Consider the following 22,881-nt stretch of genomic DNA (forward strand, 5'->3'; position numbering starts at 1 on the left):
ACTTCATATATCTAGAATGTATATTGTGTATATTCTATATAATATGTAATGGAGGTTGATAGACATAACCTTTTCTTGATGGTGTAGGTTAGAAATAACTGGTTCATTTAGGGTAGGGCAGATTTCACTTGCACTGATATGGACAAATCAGTGTTAATGACAGAATGCAATAGAGTCATCCTGCTATGTAAACAGAAGCATAGATAACAAATAATACAAAATATGATAAAAGTTTACCTCATTCATAACATCATTTATCTGACCCTTTCCCGCAATTTATCTGGCCTATCTGCCACCATTTAATTAAAAAAATTACAGTGATTATATCATGACTGCTTTCAAATCTCACTGTACAACTCTAAAAACATACACTTATTTGATAGCCTTGAATTTCAGCAGAAAAGATAATACTTATAAGAGGTATAGACTTTAAAATATATCATATTTGTGCAGAATATTTTAAGTTATAAATATGTATGCATAAGGCCTAGTTGATGTAACATTAGTATAGATGCTACAAATGCAAGTTCATTAAAGAATATTAAGATATTCTTCCCTGTAAATCTAAGGAAGCAAAACAATGGGAAATTTCTCAAAGATCTAAAGCAGGAGATGAAATAGGGACAAACTGAGTGTTTGCTCAACCGTAATTGTGAAGCAATCAGTTTAATTTTCTCACAGTTGATTTTGTTTAATTAGGAGATGACATTAGCTAACTTTGCAGTTCTACATCGTTGCAAAAAGGACAGAGGAGGTTTTGACATATTGTGCCTTTACTATTAAAGAAATATCATTCAGTGAGTTTTTTGTACACATTTCTATTTGTGTGGTTTTTTTCACTGAAAATAATGCTTTTAAATTTCAGAATACAACAGCTTAACTTATCACATAATAGAGATATACATATTGTATATCCCTTTTAAAATTAGTGCTAATGTAGCATGAGGGAAATGTAATTCAACAAGCTCGGAGCCCCGGCCGAGCTTCGGAGCCCCGGCCCAGCCCCGGCCGCGCACGCGCAGTGACGCGCCGGCCATGCCGGCGGCTGTTGTCGGGCCTCCAGCGGGCGGGGCCGTTGGCGGAGCAGAGGGGAGGCGCAGCCGGGCGGAGGGCCCACGAGGGCTCAGCCTTCCCGGTCAGCGGTGGTGACGGTATCCCAGAGTGCCAGAGAACCGTTGCTTTTCCGAGTTGCTCTTCTTCCAGGCTCCGTTGGTGGTCGGCATGGCCCGTGAGTGGGGGTGGGAAGCGGCGGCGAGCGTCCGGCGTGGGAGCCTAGCGCTGAGGCGCGGCGGGCGGGGGAGGCGGAGTCCGGCTGGAGAATCCCCCTGGGTCGCGCAGTGCGGGGATCCCCGCTTCAGTCGGCAGAGAGAGAGCTCGCGGGTGGTTCCGGTCCGGCTTTTCAGGCCGGACGGGTGCCTGCCCCTCAGGTGCGAGTTTGTGCGGTAAAGAACACACCCCGGAGATGTGGACACGGCCGCCCCAGGAGGGTCCTTGTTTGGAGGTACTTTATAGCTGATACCTCAAGTCTTAAGGCCTAATGAGGACCGGGAACTCCAGTGAGTCGCCTCCCTAGTTCTTTTGTTTGGCGCTCGCAGGTAGTAGCCGAATAAACAGGAGGCTTTAGAGCCGGTCCTAAATTTGATGTTCGTTTGTACCAGTCCTAGGTGTTAGGTCAGTCTGTTCTGCAAAATGAAAACAATGAAGCCTACCTTGCAGGGTTGTGGCTAGAATAAGGATGTAAAGGCCCACACTGCCTTTCGCAGACTTACCTTCAATCTGTTCAGTCTCCATCCACCCCTCTCCGCCTCTGCATGGGGATAAAGGTAACTCTCAAATGATGGGCTGAACTTGTGATCTCTGTATCTAGCTTTCTCTTCCACCCACTCCCCTCAAAAGCCAGAACTTATTTTGGGATACCGGCCCAAGATTCGAATATCTGTTTTAAAATATCTGGTATTTATAGCTAGTGACCACCTAGATTGGTATGATAATACTCTTAAGTCTTTAAGTGTTTAAGCCACTTCCTTATTGTCAGATCTAGGAGCACCATCAATCTGTTACTCTGCTAGTTTATCTATGAAAACACAAACTAAAGATGCATTTAAATAAGGCCTGTTTATTGGAATTATTAATAATTTTGGAGATGGGAAAAGAGCATGACTGTTTGACTTTGTAGGTGGAAATCAACGAGAACTTGCCCGCCAGAAAAACATGAAGAAAACCCAGGAAATTAGCAAGGGAAAGAGGAAAGAGGATAGCTTGACTGCCTCTCAGAGAAAGCAGAGGTACGTGGTACTAATTTAATTCTAAAGTCACTGACGTTGTGATTGAAGCAACATTTTGGGCTGGGTGTGTTGCCTCATGCCTGTAATCCCGGCAGTTTGGGAGAGTCGGGAGAACTGCTTGAAGCCAAGAGTTTGAGACCAACTTGGACAACATAGCCAGCCCCTGTATCTACAAAATATTTTTTTAAATTGGCCAGGCATGGTAGCACATGGCTGTGGTCTCGGCTACTCTGGAGGCTGAGGCGGGAGAATCGCTTGAGCCCAGGAGGTTAAGGCCGCAGTAAGCTGCGATTGCACCACTGCACTCCAGCCTGGATGGCAGAGTTAGACCCTGTCTCAAAAAAAAAAAAAAAAAAAAAAAAAGAAGGCCTCATTTTGGGGAACAGAAAGCATTTTGTTAAGCCCTTGGTAGAACAGGGCCTAATGATTTGTGCCAGGCGGACTAAAACCACGTGGGGTAGACATCCCAACATATAGATAAAAACGTAAAGCTCTGAAGCTATTATTTGTTTCACAGAGACTCATGCAGCTCCTCCACAACCATAAGAACTTTTTATAGGCTGGGCGCGGTGGCTCACGCCTGTAATCTCAGCACTTTGGAAGGCCAAGGTGGGTGGATCACCTGGGGTCAGGAGATCGAGATCAGCCTGACCAACATAGTGAAACCCTATCTCTACTAAAAATACAAAATTAGCTGGGTGCAGTGGCACATGCCTGTAATCCCAGTTACTTGGGAGGCTGAGGCAGGAGAATCGCTTGAAACCGGGAGGGGGAGGTTGCAGCGAGTGAAGATTGTGCCATTGCAATCCAGCCTGGGTACTGAGCGGGAAACTCTGTATCAAAAAAACAAAACAAAACAAAAAAAAACAACTTTATTCAGCAAAATAACATCTTCTATATGCAAAACACTGTGAGGTGCTAGAGTTACAACATTTTCAAAGTAGACAGCCTACCCAAACTACTCTGAATGACAAGGGACTCAATTATTAATATATAATGATAATAGTTCTCAAGAAGATACAAAAAAGTATATGCATAATAGCTAGCTGTGCTGATTTCTGAAGATCCATTGCATTGGAGAGAATTCATGTACATAGCCTTAATATATGACTATATGTGCCAATGTAAAACTGCTACAGAAATACTTTAGACTGCAGCTTAAGTAAAAAAAAGTACACTCATGTTTCTAAAAGAGCTAATCAAAGCTTAATTTTATTCTCAAATGATTTTGTCCATATGGAACTTGGAGGTTAAGCGAATAACTGACTGCATGTGCTTCAGTGTGGCTTGTTAGGGGTTCTCAATCCTGGCTGCACATTAGAATCACCTGGGAAACCTTGACAGCTACTCAAGCCTTGCGTTATGCTCAGTTTTGATTTTTTGTTTTTTTAAAAAATTGAATTACAATAGTTGTACATATTTTGGGGGTACATGTGATCTTTTAATACCTGTATGTGGGCTGGGTAGTCCCAGCCACTTGGGAGGCTAAGGCAGGAGAATCACTTGAACCTGGGAGGCGGAGGTTGCAGTGAGCCGAGATCCTGCCATTGCATTCCAGCCTGGGTGACAGAGTGAGACCCTGTCTCAAAAAAACAACAACAAAAAGAAACTGGCTTGGCGTGGTGGCTCATACCTGTTAGCCCAGCACTTTGGGAGGCCGAAGCGGGTGGATTACCTGAGGTTGGGAGCTCAAGACCATTCTGACCAACATGGAGAAACCCCATCTCTACTAAAAATACAAAATTAGCCAAGTGTGTGGCCGGGCGCGGTGGTTCACGCCTGTAACCCCAGCACTTTGGGAGGCCCAGGCGGGCGGATCACGAGGTCAGGAGATCGAGACCATCCTGGTTAACACGGTGAAACCCCGTCTCTACTAATAATACAAAACTTAGCCGGGCGAGGTGGCAGGCGCCTGTAGTCCCAGCTATTTGGGAGGCTGAGGCAGGAGAATGGCGTGAACCCGGGAGGCGGAGCTTGCAGCGAGCCGAGATCGTGCCACTGCCCTCCAGCCTGGGTGACAGAGCGAGACTCCGTCTCAAAAAAAAAAAAAGCCAACTGTGGTGGCGAACACCTGTAATCCTAGCTACTCGGCAGGCTGAGACAGGAGAATCACTTGAACCTGGGAGGCGGAGGTTGCGGTGAGCTGAGATCTCGCCATTGCACTCCAGCCTGGACAACAAGAGTGAAACTCCGGCCGGGCGCGATGGCTCATGCCTGTAATCCCAGCACTTTGGGAGGCCAAGGCAGGAAGATCACGAGGTCAGGAGATCGAGACCACGGTGAATCCCTGTCCGTACTAAAAATACAAAAAATTAGTCGGGCGCAGTGGCGGGCGCCTGTAGTCCCAGCTACTCGGGAGGCTGAGGCAGGAGACTGGCGTGAACCCGGGAGGCGGAGCTTGCAGTGAGCTGAGATCGCGCCACCGCACTCCAGCCTGGGCGACAGAGCGAGGCTCCGTCAAAAAAAAAAAACCTTTATGTGTACAATGTGTAATGATCAAATCGGGGTAATTGGGATATCTCTATGCTCAAACATTTAACTTTCATCCAGTTCTGATTTAATTGGTCAGAGGTCGAGCATTAAAAAGCACCCTAGGTAAATTTTACTGTACTTAGGTTATGCCTTTTTTTTTTTTTAAAGGCAGAGTCTTACTCTGTTGCCCATGCTGGAGTGCAGTGGCGTGATCTCGGCTCACTGCAACCTCCACCTCCTGGGCTTAAGCGATTCTCCTGCGTCAGCAATCCAAGTAGCTGGAATTGCAGGCGCCCGCCACCATGCCCAGCTAATTTTTGTATTTTTAGTAGAGACTGGGTTTCACCGTGTTGGCCAGGCTGGTCTCAAACTACTGACCTCAAGTGATCCACCCGCCTCGGCCTCCCAAAGTGCTGGGATTACAGGCGTGAGCCACCACGCTGGCCCAGTTATACCTTTTTTTTTTTTTTTTGAATTTTTTTTTTATTATTACGCTTTAAGTTCTAGGGTATATATGCACAACGTGCAGGTTTGTTACATAGATATACATGTGCCATGTTGGTTTGCTGCACCCATCAACTCATCATTTACATTAGGTATTTCTCCTGATGCTATCCCTCCCCCAGCCTCCCAGCACACCCAGTTATACCTTAAACTGAACTTAAAACAGCTCCCAGGTGATTCTAATGTGCAGCCACTATTAAGAGTCATTGATAAATGAGATTAAAGACCTTAATTTACGGCAAAGGTCCTGACACCTTTTTTTTTTTTTTTCCCAGATATGGCGTCTTACTCTGTGACCCAGACTGGAGTGCAGTGCCACAGTCTCGGTTCACTGCAAGCTCTGCCTCCCAGGCTCAAGTGACCCTCCCACCTCAGCCTTCTGAGTAGCTGGGACTACAAGGGCACACCACCAAGCCCAGATAGTTTTTATATTTTTTGTAGAAACGGGGTTTCATCATGTTGTCCAGGCAGGTCTTGAACTTCTGGGGTCAAGTGATTTGCCCACCTCAGTCCCCCAAAGTGCTGGAATTACAGGTGTGAGCCACTATGCCCGGCCCTAACATTTATTATTAAAGTGATAAGCTTTGTCTTCAATTTCTGTTGACTCACATTAGAGTAAAAATGAACATGGTATGAATCAGTGACCCTGCAATAGTATTTTTATTGGAGAACCTAGTCTAGCTTGGTTCAGAAATTGTCATTGTTTACCAGATATGCACTCCTTATAAAATTCTATGCTAGACATTCTATATACATTATTCTTTATTCATCATAACTCTGAAAAATGGTATTAGCACTAATCTGTAGAATAGGAAACTGAGGCTCTGAACTTCAGTAACATTACTAAAGTTACACAGCAAGCACAACAGAGCTTGGTTTCAAATAGAGAAGTAACTGTCATGGTTCTTTTTCCACTGTACTTCATTTCTTTATAGCTATGTTTTTGTTTTTGTTTTAGTGAAAGCAAGTTTATTAGGAAAGTAAAGAAATAAATATTGGCTACTTTATAGGCAGAACAGCCTGTAGCTGTGTTATTTTGCCTTTCTTCTTTATTTTTATTTTATTTTATTTTATGTTTTTGAGACGGAGTTTCGCTCTTGTTGCCCAGGCGGAGTACAATGGCGCAATCTCAGCTCACCGCAACCTCCACCTCTCGGGTGCAAGTGATTCTCCTGCCTCAGCCTCCCAAGTAGCTGGGATTACAGGCATGCACCACCATGCCTGGCTAATTTTGTATTTTTAGTAGAGATAGGGTTTCTCCATGTTGCTCAGTCTGGTCTCAAACTCTCGACCTCAGGTGGTCCGCCTATCTCAGCCTCCCAAAGTGCTGGGGTTACAGATGTGAGCCACTGGCCTATTTTGCCTTTCTTCTATTCCCTTGTTTTTGCTATTGGCTTTACAGAAATATCTTACCATCATGGCTGTGGAAATCAGTTTAGCATTTCCTCAAAAAGTTAAAACAGGCCAGGCTCAGTGGCTTACACTTGTAAATCCAGCACTTTGGGAGGCCGAGGCGAGCGGATCAACTTGAGGCCAGGAGTTCGAGACAAGCCTGGCCAACATGGTGAAACCCTGTCTCTACTAAAAATACAAAAATTAGGTGGGCTTGGTTGCACATGCCTGTAATCCCAGCTACTTGGGAAACTGAGGCAGGAGACTCGCTTGAACCAGGGAGGTGGAGGTTGCAGTGAGCAAAGATTGTGCCACTGCACTGCAGCCTGGGCAACAGAGCAAGACTCTGTCTCAAAAAAATAAATAAAAAATTAAAAAGTTTGAAACATGAGGTTAATAAGTCAGAGTTGTGGGACTTTAACCAGAGCTGGTAGAGTGCTTGACACACAGTAGATGTTGAATGCATGGCCGTTTAGTCTGTTTTTAAAATATGGGTCCATGGACTCATGAATCACCTAACCCAGGTAGTCTGGTCATAGTTCACAGTTTATATGGCATGTGTCAGTTTGACTGGAGATGAGAAGGGTTAAGGGCTGGGCGCAGTGGCTCACACCTGTAATCCCAGCACTTTGGGAGACTGAGGCAGGCGGATCACAAGGTCAGGAGTTCGAGACCAGCCTGGCCAATATGGTGAAACCTCGTCTCTACTTAAAATGCAAAAATTAGTCGGGTGTGGTGGCGCATGCCTGTAGTCCCAGCTACTCAGGAGGCTGAGGCAGAAGAACTGCAAGCAGGAAGTGGAGGTTGCAGTGAGCCAAGATCGTTCCACCGCACTCCAGCCTGGGGGACAAAGCGAGACTCCGTCTCAAAAAAAAAAAAAAGTACCCTGAACATCCAGCTTTTCTTTATTGTAATCCAGTTTTAGTGACTAGCTTTTGGGCTTTTTTGCTTGTAAGAAACTGAAATCCTTCATAATATCTATGTTCTAGTCGTAGATACCAGTTAGGATACCTAGGAGAGTTCTTAAATGCCTCTTCTTTCAAGGAAAAAAATTAGAATGAATTAACTAGTTAACAACCAAGAGTAATAGCTATTATTTCTACATGTAGCTGCCTAATGTCACACACTTTTATATATTCATAGTGATTCCTTGTAACAACCTTGATACATATTGCCCGGATTTTGAAAGGGCTTTGAGGTTATTTGCCCAAGGTCATGATAACAGAGATGGTATTCAGAATAAGATCTGACTTCAAAGCCTTTCCAGTCTGTCTTTCCATTTTATCTCCAGCCATGAAAATGGAAAGACAAAAAAGTTTATATCCTCTTTTAAATTGTCTTCTAATACACTGAATGGGTTATGTGTAGAAACCAAGTGAGAATATATAATTGGTTTTTCTGTAACAACTTATAGACTTTTCCCTCATTGTAGGGACTCTGAGATCATGCAAGAAAAGCAGAAGGCAGCTAATGAGAAGAAGTCTATGCAGACAAGAGAAAAGTGATGACTGGCTATTTGGAAAACCTGGGTGCTACTGCCAACTGGGTGTATCATAAGCTCTAAGATCAAGATTTTGTAGAGTGGACAGTCATTACATATGTTATAACTTATCCTTTAAAAACTATTTTAAACTTTATCCTTTCAGCTTTACTTAGTGCGATGTTTTAGAAGCAGTCTTCAAAGAATAAAACACTAACCATGCATGTGACATATTGGTGAACATTATTTTTATTATTGAACATTCATATATAATTTATTAGGTAATATGATCAGATAATAGGATCTCTTATATAATAAAGAATCTTTGTCATCAGCTTTGTTAACATAGTTTTTTTTTCCTCACAGTTTCTAAGGATAAGGATAAAATAGATCTTTGAAGTAAACTTAAATATATAATAGAAGTTAGGGTCCATTTGTATAATTTTGCTTTGAAATCAAGTTAAAGGGCCAGGTGCGGTGGCTTATGCCCACAATCCCAGCACTTTGGGAGGCCGAGGCGGGCGGATCACTTGAGGTCAGGAGTTTGAGACCAGCCTGACCAACATGATGAAACCTCATCTTTACTAAAAATACAAAAAAAAAAAAAAAAAAAAAATAGCCAGGTGTGTGGTGGCACATGCCTGTAATCTCAGCTACTCGGGAGGCTGAGGCAGGAAAATCGCTTGAACCCAAGGCAGAGGTTGCAGTCAGCAGATATTGCACCACTGCACTCCAGCCTGGGCAACAAAGCAAGACTCTGCCTCAAAAAAAAAAAAAAATCAACTTACAAAGCTTGCTTGAACAATTTACAACAGATACTTCAAACCACTGGAATAGAAACTAAGTGGATGTAAACTGAGGTCTCAGTTCTACTTATAGCTTTAACATTTTTTGGAATGAGTACCATATTTTCTGTTCTCAGCCTCTTCTAAAACTTGAGTCTTGATGGTAGTTATAAATTTGGAAATATGTAACCTAGAGAAATTAAGGTTTGAGACCTTGCTGCACTCTGAAGTAAACACAAAACTATGTCAGAGAGAATAAAAATGCCATTGTAGTAGTAAATAGAATAACTTAAAGTATTCTACAAATACTTGATTTTTCACATAATGCAATTTAACAAATTTTTCTGATCACCCAATATGTCAACCACTATCTGAATGGACAGATCTTGAAGTTAGCCTAACACAATATCTTGTGATTTGTCTCTTACCAGTGGTACCACCCATAAATAGGCTAGAATTTTTTGTGTCTAATACTGAATTCGACAACCAGGAAGTTTTTTGGGTTTTTGTGGGGTGTTTTTTTTTTTTTTGAGACAGAGTCTTGCTCTCTCGCCCAGGCTAGAGCGCAGCAGTGCCATCTCGGTTCACTGCAACCTCCGCCACCTGAGTTCAAGCGATTCTCCTGCCTCAGCCTCCTGAGGAGCTGGGACTACAGGCGCCCGCCACCACGCCCGGCTAATTTTTGTGTTTTTAGAAGAGATGGGGTTTCACCATTTTGGCCAGGCTGGTCTCAAACTACTAACCTCAGGTGATCCACCCTTCTTGGCCTCCCATAGAGCTGGGATTACAGGCGTGAGCCATCCCACCCGGCTGAAGTTTTTTAGCCTGAGTTTCTATCTTCATATTAGCCTAGATTTTTCATTAAATTAAAACATTGTTCTGGATCTTTGGTTAACTTTAGTCTTCAGAATATTCTATGATGGTAGTCACAAAGGCAAAAATTAAGTAGCTTAAGTTACATTCTAATAAAAGAAATAATAAAGAAATCTGATTGTACCACAAAGATTCTTTGTGGGCCTGGTTTCTGTAATTCTGTCTCCAGAATTTCTACACAGACTAATAAGCCATAAGTACAAAAAAACTTTTCATGCTTTAAGCTCTTTTCTTTGCCTTTTTTTTTAAATGAATAATTTCTTTAGTTTATCCTGTGGAATGGAAGAACTTTAGACCTTTTAATTCTTATAAATCGAGGGAAAGCTACGTTTCCAAAATAAAATGGATATTAGAATAAGGAAGATCTCTAGTTTGTAATCAATCATTAGTACTTTTTTTTTTTTTTTTTTGAGGCAGGATCTCGCCTTGTCACCCCGGCTGAGTGCAGTGGCACGAACGTGGCTCACTGCAGCCTCAACCTCCTGGGCTCAAGTGATCCTCCTGCCTCAGTCTCGTCTCCCAAGCAGTTGGGACTACAGGCGCATGCCACCACGTCAGGCTGATTTTTATATTTTTGGTAGAGATAGGGGTTTTGCCATGTTGCCCAGGCTGGTCTCCAACTCCTGAGCTCAAGTGAGCCACCTTCCACCTCTGCCCAAAGTGCTGGGATTACAGGCGTGAGCCACCATGCCTGGCCATTCTTGATTAATTTTTATGGCATTTAATTAAATAAATTTATTGTTAAGAGGTTTGATTTTTAACTGCAATATGACCAGATGTTTCCTCAAAGCAGGCGGAAAAATTATCGGAGAGGAAGAAAATTAAGTCTAATTGTTGGAGTATATTGACACCTATCATGTGGTATATTGTAATATATATATATATGCAATACATTGACACCAATCATGACACCACCATGTGGTATAGTTAAGGTAACTAAAAGTAGCTGAACTTATAAAGAGGGAAACAGGTCAATTATAGGATACTAAGGGAAAATACAGGTGAATAGCTTTTTTTTTTTTTTTTTTTTTTTTTTTTTGAGACTGTGTCTTGCTTGCTCTGTTGCTGAGGCTGGAGTACAGTGGCACAATCTCGGCTGACTGCAACCTCTGCATCCCGGGTTCAAGCAATTCTCCTGCCTCAGCCTCCCAAGTAGCTGGGATTACAGGCGTGCACTACCACACCCAGCTAGTTTTTTTGTATTTTTAGTAGAGACAGGGTTTCACCATGTTAGCCAACCTGGTCTCAAACTCCTGATCTCAAATGATCTGCCTGCTTCGGCCTCCCAAAGTGCTGGGATTACAGATATGAGCCACCATGCCCATCCCTGGAGAATAATTTTAATTATTATTATTATTATTTTTTTTTTTTTTTTTTGAGACGGAGTTTCGCTCTTGTTGCCCAGACTGGAGTGCAGTGGCGTGATACTGGCTCACCGCAACCTCTGCCTCCCGGGTTCTCCCACCTCAGCCTCCCGAGTAGCTAGGATTACAGGCATGAGCCACCACGCCCGACTAATTTTGTGTTTTTAGTAGAGACGGGGTTTCTCCATGTTGGTCAGGCTGGTCTCGAACTTCTGACCTCAGGTGATCCGCCCACCTCGGCCTCCCAAAGTGCTGGGATTACAGGCATGAGCCACCACGCCCAGCCTTAGGAGAATGATTGTAAAAAGTAAATTCATGTAATGATTTTATTTAGTTTGGATATTGTTAGGGCTTGTTGCTAAAGAAAGATAAAATTATTAGGTGAGATAGTACCAGATTTAGAATATAATTTGGAAAATACCAAACTCCATGGAACCCTCCCTTTAAACATCAAAAATCGTATTTTGCATCATTCTTAGGAGGTAGTGCGTTATCATTAGCAATTTTCATTAAGTCCTGCTGAAAATGAGAAGCAGCAGCCATTACTGCCCAAGATACACTGTGGTCAGTTTTATCAGTTACTTTTTTTTTTTTTTTAAACAGAGTCTCGCTTTGTCATCCAGGCTGGAGTGCAATGGTGCGATCTCCGCTCACTGCAACCTCCACTTCCGTGCCTGGCTAATTTTTTGTAGTTTTAGTAGGGATGGGGTTTCACCATCTTGGCTAGGCTGGTCTCGAACTCCTGATCTCAAGTTATCCACTCGCTGGCCATCAGTCATTTATTTTTGAATGCCTCTTCTATTAGTAGCATGTGTAAGAAATTGTGATCCATTTATCAAACTAGCCAGTTTTTGAAAATAGGGCTAAAAGGAAACGTTGATTTCTGACATTTTCCAAAAACTTAAAAAATTTTTATATAGGCTGGGCACAATAGCTCACGCCTGTAATCCCAGCATTTTGGGAGGCCGAGGCAGGTGGGTCATTTGAGCTCAGGAGTTTGAGACCAGCCTGGGCAACACAGAAAAACCTCATCTCTACCAAAAAAAAAAAAATTAGGTGGGTGTGGTGGTGCACGCCTGTAGTCCCAGCTACTTGGGAGGCTAAAGTGGGAGGATCACCTGAACCCAGAAGGTCAAGGCTGCAGTGAGCCGAGATTGCACCACTGCCCTCCACCCTGGGTGATAAGAGTGGGACCCTGTCTCAAAACATACACACACACACACACACACACACACACACACACACACACACACACTCTCTCTCTCTCTCTCTCTCTCTCAAAAACACTTGGTCTGTTATTTTTACGAAATTGTCAGTCATAGTTATCTGTTAGACCAAAGCTGAGTAAGAACATTTATTACATTGCCTCCTACAACTTCATCAGCTAATGTATTTGCTATATAGCAATTACATATTGGAATATATTATCTTTAGAGATGGCCAAGTCATAAAACTGTCACTGAGAAAAGGAGAATGACAATGTGTATGCTCAAATGTACTTCCCTATAAATTTCCAAAAGACATGAAACTTACTACAGGTTTGTTTTTTTCACACCTTCACTTCTTAAAAACAAAAAAACTTTTACATAGCAGTAACTAATGCACATTAAAAGTTTATAAATAGCCTGCTATTGGATCATTTGCTTGGAAAAGTTGAGATTTTCAAATTTGATTATAACATAACTTTTGTAGAAATACACGGCCAGGTGCAGTAGCTCACATTTGTAATCTCAGCACTTTGGGAGGCTGAGGTGGGAGGATCGCTTGAGGCCAGGAGTTTGAGACCAGCCTGGGCAACATGACAAAACCCCATCTCCTCAAAAAGCACAAAAATTAGCCAGATGTGGTGGTGCACACCTGTAGTCCCAGCTACTTGGGGGACTGAGGTGGAAGGATGGTTTGAGTCTGGGAAGTTGAGGATGCAGTGAGCCAAGGTCATGCCACTGCACTCCAGCCAGGGTGACAAAGTGACACCCTGTCTCAATATAATAATTTTAAAAAGGTGCCTGTAATCCTAGCACTTTGGGAGGCCAAGGCGGGCGGATCACGAGGTCGGGAGTTCAAGACCAGCCTGGCCAATATGGTGAAACCCGTCTCTACTAAAAATACAAAAATTAGCCAGGTATGGTGGTGTGTGCCTGTAATACCAGCTACTTGGGAGGCTGAGGCAGGAGAATCGCTTGAACCCAGGAGGTGGAGATTTCAGTGAGCCGAGATTGCACCACTGCACTCCAGTCTGGGTGACAGAGCAAGACTTCATCTCAAAGAAATAAATAAATAAAAAACAAGGCCGGGCATGGTGGCTCATGCCTGTAATCCAGCACTTTGGGAGGCTGAGGCTGAGGTGGGCAGATCACCTGAGGTCAGGAGTTCAAGACCAGCCTGGCCAACATGGTGAAACCCCGTCTCTACTAAAAATACAAAAATTAGCCAAGCGTGGTGGTGGGCGCCTGTAATCCCAACTACTTGGGAGGCTGAGGCAAGAGAATTTCTTGACTCTGGGAGGCAAAGGTTGCAGTGAGCCGAGACTGCACCACTGCACTCTAGCCTGAGCAACAGAACAAGACTCTGTCTCAAAAAAAAAAAAAAAAAAAAAACATACAAACCGAATTTCCATTCCACATACTACTCTTGCTGTTTTACCACTTGGACAAGACTGCTTGCTGGTACATAAGTTCTGGAACACTTCCTTGCAGCAGTCTGGCTGAGCCTTGGTATTTAAAAGAAATTTACCTACCAGCCTGGCTATAATTGACATAATCCTATTAAATACTTGCCTTTTATGAACATATATCACATGACATAAGTTTTTGTCAAATACTTTTTTTTTGGTCAAAGACTGTAGCCTTATACCACTCAAGGGGGCTGTTAGGGTAGCTTATGAATGGATATTTCATACAGAGTTACGTATTTAACCCATTTCCTGTTTAGAAAATAAAAGTGGCCAGGCGCCGTGGCTCACGCCTGTAATCCTAGCACTTTGGGAGGCCGAGGTGGGTGGATCACGAGGTCAGGAGATCGAGACCGTCCTGGCTAACATGGTGAAACCCCGTCTCTACTAAAAATACAAAACATTAGCCGGGCATGGTGGCAGGCGCCTGTAGTCCCAGCTACTCGGGAGGCTGAGGCAGGAGAAAGGCATAGACCCGAGAGGCGGAGCTTGCAGTGAGCCGAGATCATGCCACTGCACTCCATGCACTCCAGCCTGGGCGACAGAGTGAGACTCCGTCTCAAAAAAAAAAAAAGAAAAAAAGAAAAAAAAAGTGCAGCTGGCTGCCAGCGCTCATTTAATTTTACATAAACACACTCTGAGGTTGACGCAAATTAATTTTCAATGTGAAAATACACAAACTGTTCTTAGAGTTATTTCTAAACAGAACTTGTCTCTAATCCTAATATAATGGAAATGTATATAATGTTACATTAGGATTAGAGGCAAGAGTATTCTTGGGGCAAACGGGAAATGGGTTAGTATATACTTGAAGTAATATAACCACATCTAACCTGATTTCATGATATATTGGAATTTTTGGTTGCAAGCAACAGGATCAGATTAATGAACTTACTGATAAAAATCTTATTTGAAAGAATGAGAGACTCCAGAGTCATGGAAAAGTTGAGGACTCAAGGCTTTGGAAAGGTCAAGAATTGTAACAGTTTCAGGTATCTTAAGAGTAGGTGTTATGAGGTGTTTGTTTTTGTTTTTTTTTCTTACAGTGCTGATATCAGGTTGAACTTCTGACATGTATATTTAGTTTTTATGTCACTTGGAGTGCCTCCAACTGAAGTTACATGGGTTAGGTACCCATCCCTCAGCAAGAGGAGGGCAAGTTGATGGTAAAACCAACTCTAGTAAGGAGTAGGTGGTCCCCTGTATTAGTCCGTTCTCATGCTGATAATAAAGACATACTCGAGACTGGATAATTTATAAAGGAAAGAGGTTTAATTGACTCACAGTTGTGTATGGCTGGGGAGGCCTCAGGAAGCTTACAATCATGGCAGAAGGGGAAGCAAATACATCCTTCTTCACATGATGGCAGGAAGGAGAAGTGCAAAGCAAAAGGGGAAAAGCCCCTTATGAAACCATCAGATCTCCTGAGAACTCACTCACTATCATGAGAACAGCATGAAGGTAACCACCCCCATGATTCAATTACCTCCCACCAGGTCCCTCCCATGACACATGGGAATTATAGGAGCTACAATTCAGGATGAGATTTGGGTTGGGGACACAGCCAAACTATATCATCCCCCAAAAAATTTAGGGTTCTTTGCCAAAAGGAAGGGAGAATGGATGCTGAGCAGACTAAAATAATATATTTTAATCCCTCTTATTGAAAAGCTAAGACTAAATTTTTAAAATTGTATGTTTTTGTTTTTTTGAGACGGAGTGTCGCTCTGTCGCCCGGCTGGAGTGCAGTGGCGCGATCTCAGCTCACTGCAACATCCACCTCCCGAATTCAAACAATTCTCCCACCTCAGCCTCCTGAGTAGCTGGGACTACAGGAGCATACCACCATGCCCAGCTAATTTTTGTATTTTTAGTAGAGATGAGGTTTCACCATATTGGTCAGGCTGGTCTCGAACTGACCTCAGGCAATCTACCCACCTTGGCCTCCCAAAGTGCTGGGATTACAGACATGAGCCACCACGCCCAGCTAATTCTGTATTTTAAGTAGAGACGGGGTTTCACCATGTTGGTCAGGCTGGTCTCGAACTCCTGACCTCAGGTGATCCGCCAGCCTTGGCCTCCCAAAGTGCTGGGATTACAGGCGTGAGCCACCGAGCCTGGCTGTATTTTTAAATACAAAAATTTGCCAGGTATTGTGATGGGTGCCTGTAATCTCAGCTACTCGGGAGGCAGAGGCCGGAGAGTCACTTGAACCCAGGAGGTTGCAGTGAGCTGAGATCACACCACTGCACTGCAGCCTGGGTGACAGAATGAGACTCCATCTAAAAAAAGAAAAAAATGTATTTTTTAAAATACATGATATGGCAAATCATAAAGGTGGTAAGCATCTGAAGTGTGAGAAATAATCATGCAGCTTATGCAGTTTTTGTCTCTACCAATCTTTCAAACCCTCAAACTGCAATGCTTGCTCATTATAGAAAATCTGGGAAAATACAGTAAGTTCTAAATTTCCATAAATTCTAAATAGCATCTCTTTGAAAACTAACTCCTTGGGCATTTATCCCAGTGAAATGATAATAAACAGCCAGCATTTGAAATGTATATTTCAATGACTCGTATATGAATACTATGTTCAGATCACAATAAAGGACATTTCCAGCACCCTCTTAGATAATGCCTCCCATCTGATTATCACCATAGATTAGTTTTGCCTGTTTTTGAATTTTTTGTAAATGGGATCACACGGTATGTGCTGTAGTGAGCCTAGCTTGATTTGCTCAACGTTACGTCTAAAAGAATTCTCTATTTTGCTGCTATGCAGCAGTTCAGCCTTTTTCACTGTTGTGTAGCATTCTGTTATATGAATATACCATAATTTAGTTACTCTACATTTCATGGACCTTTGAATTGCTCCCACTTTGGGGCTGTTATGAATAATGCTACCGTAACATTTTTGTATATCTTATGATGGTCTTAAACACGCTATCTACTGAGTATATGCCAGGAATGGAATTGCTGGGTCATAGGGTGTGTGTCTATACACACACATACACACATTTTTTAGTAGGTACCATCAAACAATTGCATTTTTGTTGTTTTTGTTTTAGTTTGTTTTTAATGACCATACCATTTTACCACCAGCAATAAAGGAAGGTTCCATTGCTCCATACCAGCATTAGGTATTATCAGTCCTTTTATCTTTAACCATATTGGTGGGAGGTAGTGGTATCTCATTGTAGTCTTAATTTACTTCCATATACTTAATTTAAATACACTCAATTTATATACACACACGTATACTCTCTCAGCCTTCAGTAAGCCAGTCTCATTCCCCTGAACTAACCAATGTTAATAATGGTATGCTTCTCTCAGTGCTCATGCAAACATGCATACACACACATACACATAAATAAGGGGTGTGGGAATGTATTTGATTCTGAGAGCTGCTGTAACAAATTACCACAAACTTAGTGGCTTAAAACAACAGAAATATTTCTGTTCACAGTTCTGGAGGCCAGAAATCTGAGAGCAAGATGTCAGCTGGGCCACACCTCCCTCTGAAGGCTCCAAGGGAGAATCCTTGCTTTCCTCTTCCAGCTGCTGGTGGCTCCAGGTATTACTTGGCTTATGGCAGCATAACTCCTATCTCTGCCTTTGTCTTTGTGGTCTTCTTTTCTGTCTTCTTCCCTTCTTTTTATGAGGACTTTTGCTGTTGGATTTAGGTTCCATTCTAACCTAGGATGATCTCATTTGGAAATCCTTAATTTCATCTACAAAAACTGTTTTCCCAAATAGGTCACATTCACGCATATCAGATGGACAGATGTATCATTTTGGGGTCCACCATTCAACCCACTACAAGGAGTTTTTTAAACAAAAATAGGAAACTTAGATGTAACTTAGCACTTTTTTTTTTTTTTTTTGAGATGGAGTCTCACTCTGTCACCAGACTGGAGTGCAGTGGTGCCATCTCAGCTCCATGCAACCTCTGCCTCCTGGGTTCAAGCAGTTCTCTTGCCTCAGCCTCCTGGGTAGCTGGGATTACAGGCACGCGCTGCCACACCCAGGTAATTTATTTATTTTTTTTTTGAGACAGAGTCTCGCACTGTTGCCCAGGCTGGACTGCAGTGGCGTGATCTCTGCTCACTGCAACCTCCGCCTCCCGGGTTCAAGCGATTCTCCAGCCTCAGCTTCCTGAGTAGATGGGATTACAGGCGCCTGCCACCACGCCCAGCTAATTTTTTGTATTCTTAGTAGAGATGGGGTTTCACCATGTTGGCCAGGCTGGTCTCCATCTCCTGACCTCGTGATTCACCCGCCTCGGCCTCCCAAAGTGCTGGGATTACAGGCGTGAGTCACAGCCCCCGGCCATAATTTAGCACTTTAAAAAATAATAGCCATGTTGGGCCAGGCGTGGTGGCTCATGCCTGTAATCTGAGCACTTTGGGAGACCAAGGCGGGTAGATCCCTTGTGCCCAGGAGTTCAAGACCAGCCTGGGCAACATGGCGAAACCCCATTTCTACTAAAAATACAAAAATTAGCTGGGGCGAGGGGATAGGCCGAGTTCCGGGTGTAAGGGGGCCATTAGGGAGAGCAGAGCGAGGCAGCTGATCTTCCGGATTGGGGGCCTTGCCCGGAAGCTGGACCTCACGGAGATGAAACGGAAGATGCACGAGGATATGATCTCCATACAGAACTTTCTCATCTACGTGGCCCTGCTGCGAGTCACTCCATTTATCTTAAAGAAATTGGACAGCATATGAAGATTGGACATCACATGTGAATGCATGATATGAAGAGCCTGGTTACAGTTTCTACTGTTCTCTGCAAGTAAATAGGCCCAGAAAGGTATAAGAGACTCTTTGAATGGACATAAAAATTCTGCTTGTTAAGAACAAGTTGAGCTCTGGTAACTGATCTTAATAGCTAAAATATAAAAATATTTGGGAAGTCTGAAATGAGGTCTCCTGGCCCTGGTGTGCCCTTAATGCCTGTGACAGTTGGCCTCTGTGAATATTGGTATAATTGTAAATAATGTCAAACTCCATTTTCTAGCAAGTATTAATAATTAAGGGAAGTATGTCTGAAATGGCACTGTCTTGTCAGTCATTTCTGTTTACCCTTCTGTCTGGAGTGTATTTGTGAAGAGTCCCTTATAACTTATGTTTTATGGACATCAGCACATAACCACAATGACATTGAAGCACAGGATCATTAGTCTATATTTTATTTTATTATTTTATTTATTTATTTATTTATTTTTGAGATGGAGTCTTGCTCTGTCGCCCAGGCTGGAGTGCAGTGGCACAATCTCGGCTCACTGCAAGCTCTGCTTCCCAGGTTCACGCCATTCTCCTGCCTCAGCCTCCCGAGTAGCTGGGACTACAGGTGCCCACCACCACACCCGGCTAATTTTTTGTACTTTTAGTAGAGATGGGGTTTCACTGTTTTAGCCAGGATGGTCTCGATCTCCTGACCTCATGATCCACCCGCCTTGGCCTCCCAAAGTGCTGGGATTATAGGTGTAAGTCACCATGCCCAGCCCATTAGTCTATATTTTTAAGTAAACATACCAATTAAGAAAGAAGCCAAAAACCAAAATTAGCCAGGTGTGGTGGCACGTGCCTGTAGTCCCAGCTACTTGGGAGGCTGAGGTGTGAGGATCACTTGAACTCAGGAGGCAGAGGTTGCAGTGACCCAAGATGGTGCCACTGCACTCCAGCCTGGGTGACAGAGTGAGACCCTGTTTCCACAAAAAGAAAAAAAAAATAGCCGTGCCTGTACTTCAGTACTTACAAATTTAACTTTAGTATAGATGTACAGTAATTTATTCAATCATTTCCTTACTCATAGACAATTAGGATGTTGCAACTTTTGCCACTACAAACAATTCTGCGATGTGGATTATCGTACTTATTCCCATTTATTGGTGCTTTCATTTCTATAAGAATGGATTTTTAAAGATAGAATTCCTTGGGAATAGTTATGTCAAAGCCAAATATAATATAGAGACAAATCTCTAAAAACATTTTATTTGGTAAGCAAGAGCTGCAATTCATGGCATACACACAGACCAGGCTGATCATTGGTATGATCAGGAGAATAAAGGGAAGGTTGCGGCCAGGTGTGATAGCTCATGCCTGTAATCCCAGCACTTTGGGAGGCCGAGGCGGGCAGATCACCTGAGGTCAGGAGTTTGAGACCAGCCTGACCAACATGGAGAAACTCCGTCTCTACTAAAAATACAAAATTAGTTGGGCATAGTGGCGCATGCCTGAATCCCAGCTACTCAGGAGGCTGACACAGGAGAAATGCTTGAACCCGGGAGGTGAAGGTTGCAGTGAGCCGAGATCGCGCCATTGCACTCCAGCCTGGGCAACAAGAGCAAAATTCCATCTCAAAAAAAAAAAAAGAGAAGGTTCCGGGTTTTATGAGAAAGAACAGTATTACATACTGTTTTGGAAGAAAGCTCATTCACACTAGAGCTTGTGGGAGCTAGCAAGCTCTGATTGGTGAGCGATGGTGGTAGGTAAAACCAGTCTTAGAGTCATGGCAGTTCATTTTAGCAGCTATTAGGTAAAACTGGTCTTAGGGATACAGAAGGCTGGTTCAGCAGTTGGACTTGTGGAAAATTTAATTCTTGAAGCAGATGCTGTGTGCCCCGAATGCTTCTTCCCCCTGGCCCTTCAACTCTGATTTAGTTGAGTATTTCAAGAATGACCCAATTTATGTAATCAACTTTCACAGGTATACATGTCTTAAACTTTAAACAGATGTTTTGGGTTTTGTTGTTGTTGTTTTTGAGACGGAGTCTCACTCTGTTGTCCAAGCTGGAGTGTAGTGGTGTGATCTCGGCTCACTGCAACCTCCGCCTCCAGGGTCAAGTGATTCTCCAGCCTCAGCCTCCTGAATAGCTGGGATTACAGGCGCCCGCCACCACGCCCAGCTAATTTTTGTATTTTTAGTAGAGATGGGGTGGGGTTTCACCATGTTGGCCAGGCTGGTCTTGAACTCCTGACATCAAGTGTTCTGCTCACCTCAGCCTCTGAAAGTGCTGGGATTACAGGCGTGAGCCACTGCGCCCGGCAGTCTTTCCTTCTTTTTTTTTTTTTTTTTTTTTTTTTTAATGACATGGGGTCTTACTTTATTACTCAGGCTGGTCTCAAACTTCTGGCCTCAAGGGATCTTCCCACCTTGGCCTCCCAAATTGCTGGGATTACAGGCATAAGTCATCATGCCTGGCTACAAACAGATATTTTCAATAAGAGGATAAAAGTTCATTTCCCCATACTTTGCTAACATCAAATGTTATTAATTCCTAATAGTTTTGCCAAACTGAGAGGAAAATGGTATGTTAGTTTTTCTGGGTTTTCTTTCTTTTTAATTTTTTTTCTTTTTTATTCATCGCAACACTATTCACGATTTTTTTATTTTTTATTTTATTTATTTATTTTTTTTTTTTTGAGACAAGGTCTCCCTATGTTGCCCAGGCTGGTCTTGTACCCCTGGGCTCAAAGGATCCTCCTGCCTCAGCCTCCCAAAGTGCTAGGATTACAGGCATGAGTCACCACGCCTGGTTCACAATTTCTTTTTGTTTTTACCAAAGGCAGGTATATTCCTGAAATTTTTTGTTTTTTTGTTTTTTTTTTGAGATGAAGTCTCACCCTGTCACTCAGACTGGAGTGCACTGGCACGATCTCAGCTCACTGCAACCTCCGCTTCCTAGGTTCAAGCGATTCTCCTGCCTCAGTCTTCAAAGTAGCTAGGATTATAGGCGCCGCAACCATGCTCAGCTAATTTTTGTATTTTTAGTAGAGACAGGATTTCACCATGTTGGCCAGGGTGATCTCAAATCCTGACCTCAAGTGATCCGCCTGCCTCAGCCTCCCAAAGTGCTGGGATTACTGGCATGAGCCACCGTGCCAGGCCCTGAAATGTTATCTTAGTTATTAATTTGCAATTCCTTGGCTCTAGAGGTTGGGCATCTTCTCAGATCTCTAGTGGACATTTGGATTTTCTTTTTGGTGAACTGTCCAGTTTTTCTCTCTGCTTTACAATCTTTATTATATGCAATCTTCACATGTAGGTACTACCATTTTTTTAGTTTGTTTTTGAAACAGCATATTGCTCTGTTGCCCAGGCTGGAGCACGGTGGCAAAAACATGGCTTACTGCAGCCTTTGACCTCCTTGGCTCAAGTACTCCTCCTGTCTCAGCCTCCTGAGTAGCTGGTACCACAAGCCCATACCACCATGCCCAGCTAATTTATTTTTGTAGAGATGGGGCCTGACCATGTTACTTGGGCTCAAATGATCCTCTCCCACTCAGCCTCCCAAAGTGCTAGGATTACAGGCATGAGCCACCATACTTGGCCCTTTTTTTTTTTTTTTTTTTTTTTTTTTTGAGACAGAGTCTTGCTCTGTCTCACAGGCTGGTGTGCAGTGGCACGATCTCAGCTCATTGCAACCTCCACCTCCCAGTTTCAAGTGATTTTTGTGCCTCAGCCTCCCTAGTAGCTGAGATTACAGGCATGCACCACCATGCCTGGCTGACTTTCATATCTTTAGTGTTGCCATGTTGGCTAGGCTGGTCTCAAACTCCTGACCTCATGTGATCCACCTGCCTCGGACTCCCACAGTGCTGGGATTACAGGTGTTAGCCACCACCCCGACATTATTTGAAACTTTTATTTTATCATGAGAGAGTTCCAGGAGTCAACTGAAGACAGATTTTTGGTATGAAAATTACATATGCAAAAAGACTGATTCCAGTACATGAAATTAAATTCAACATTTACATTAAATGCCTTCAAATATGGTAAAATGGTTTCTTTTGGCAGTTTACCTCATTATGTTTTGAATGATTTGTCTATCATATGAAATAACTTTTATAAATATAGTAACTCAGGCCTGGGCACAGCGGCTCAAGTGGGAGGACTGCTTAAGCAACCGAGTTTGAGACCAGCGTGGACAACATGGGGAGACCCCTTCTCTCCCAAAAAATAGCTGAGCATGGCAGCGCACTGTTAAAGGAAACAGAGTTTCTTTGGTGGGTGATTAAAATGTTCTGGAGTTAGATAGTGGTGATGGTTGCA

At 43.1% G+C, this 22,881-nt stretch overlaps 2 protein-coding genes across 3 annotated transcripts; both read left to right on the plus strand.

Annotated features, from left to right (window-relative positions):
* The first annotated feature begins 1,020 nt into the window (after positions 1–1,020).
* On the plus strand, positions 1,021–18,882 carry SERF1A (small EDRK-rich factor 1A). Of its 2 annotated transcripts, none has more exons than NM_021967.4 (3): positions 1,021–1,228; positions 2,177–2,285; positions 17,293–18,882. In NM_021967.4, exons 1-3 carry the CDS (start codon positions 1,222–1,224, stop codon positions 17,507–17,509), a joined length of 333 nt encoding a protein of 110 aa, NP_068802.1. In that variant the 5' UTR covers positions 1,021–1,221; the 3' UTR covers positions 17,510–18,882. The 2 variants fall into 2 exon arrangements, with proteins under 2 accessions (NP_068802.1, NP_075257.1); NM_022968.2 differs by lacking the exon at positions 17,293–18,882 and adding an exon at positions 8,086–8,467.
* On the plus strand, positions 18,187–18,551 carry LOC107986373 (mitochondrial import receptor subunit TOM5 homolog). Its single transcript, XM_047418007.1, has 2 exons — positions 18,187–18,216; positions 18,330–18,551. The coding sequence occupies exons 1-2, from the start codon at positions 18,187–18,189 to the stop codon at positions 18,549–18,551; spliced, it is 252 nt and encodes an 83-aa protein (XP_047273963.1).

The sequence above is a fragment of the Homo sapiens genome, chromosome 5 (assembly GCF_000001405.40).
Source record: "Homo sapiens chromosome 5, GRCh38.p14 Primary Assembly".
Lineage (NCBI taxonomy): Eukaryota > Metazoa > Chordata > Mammalia > Primates > Hominidae > Homo > Homo sapiens.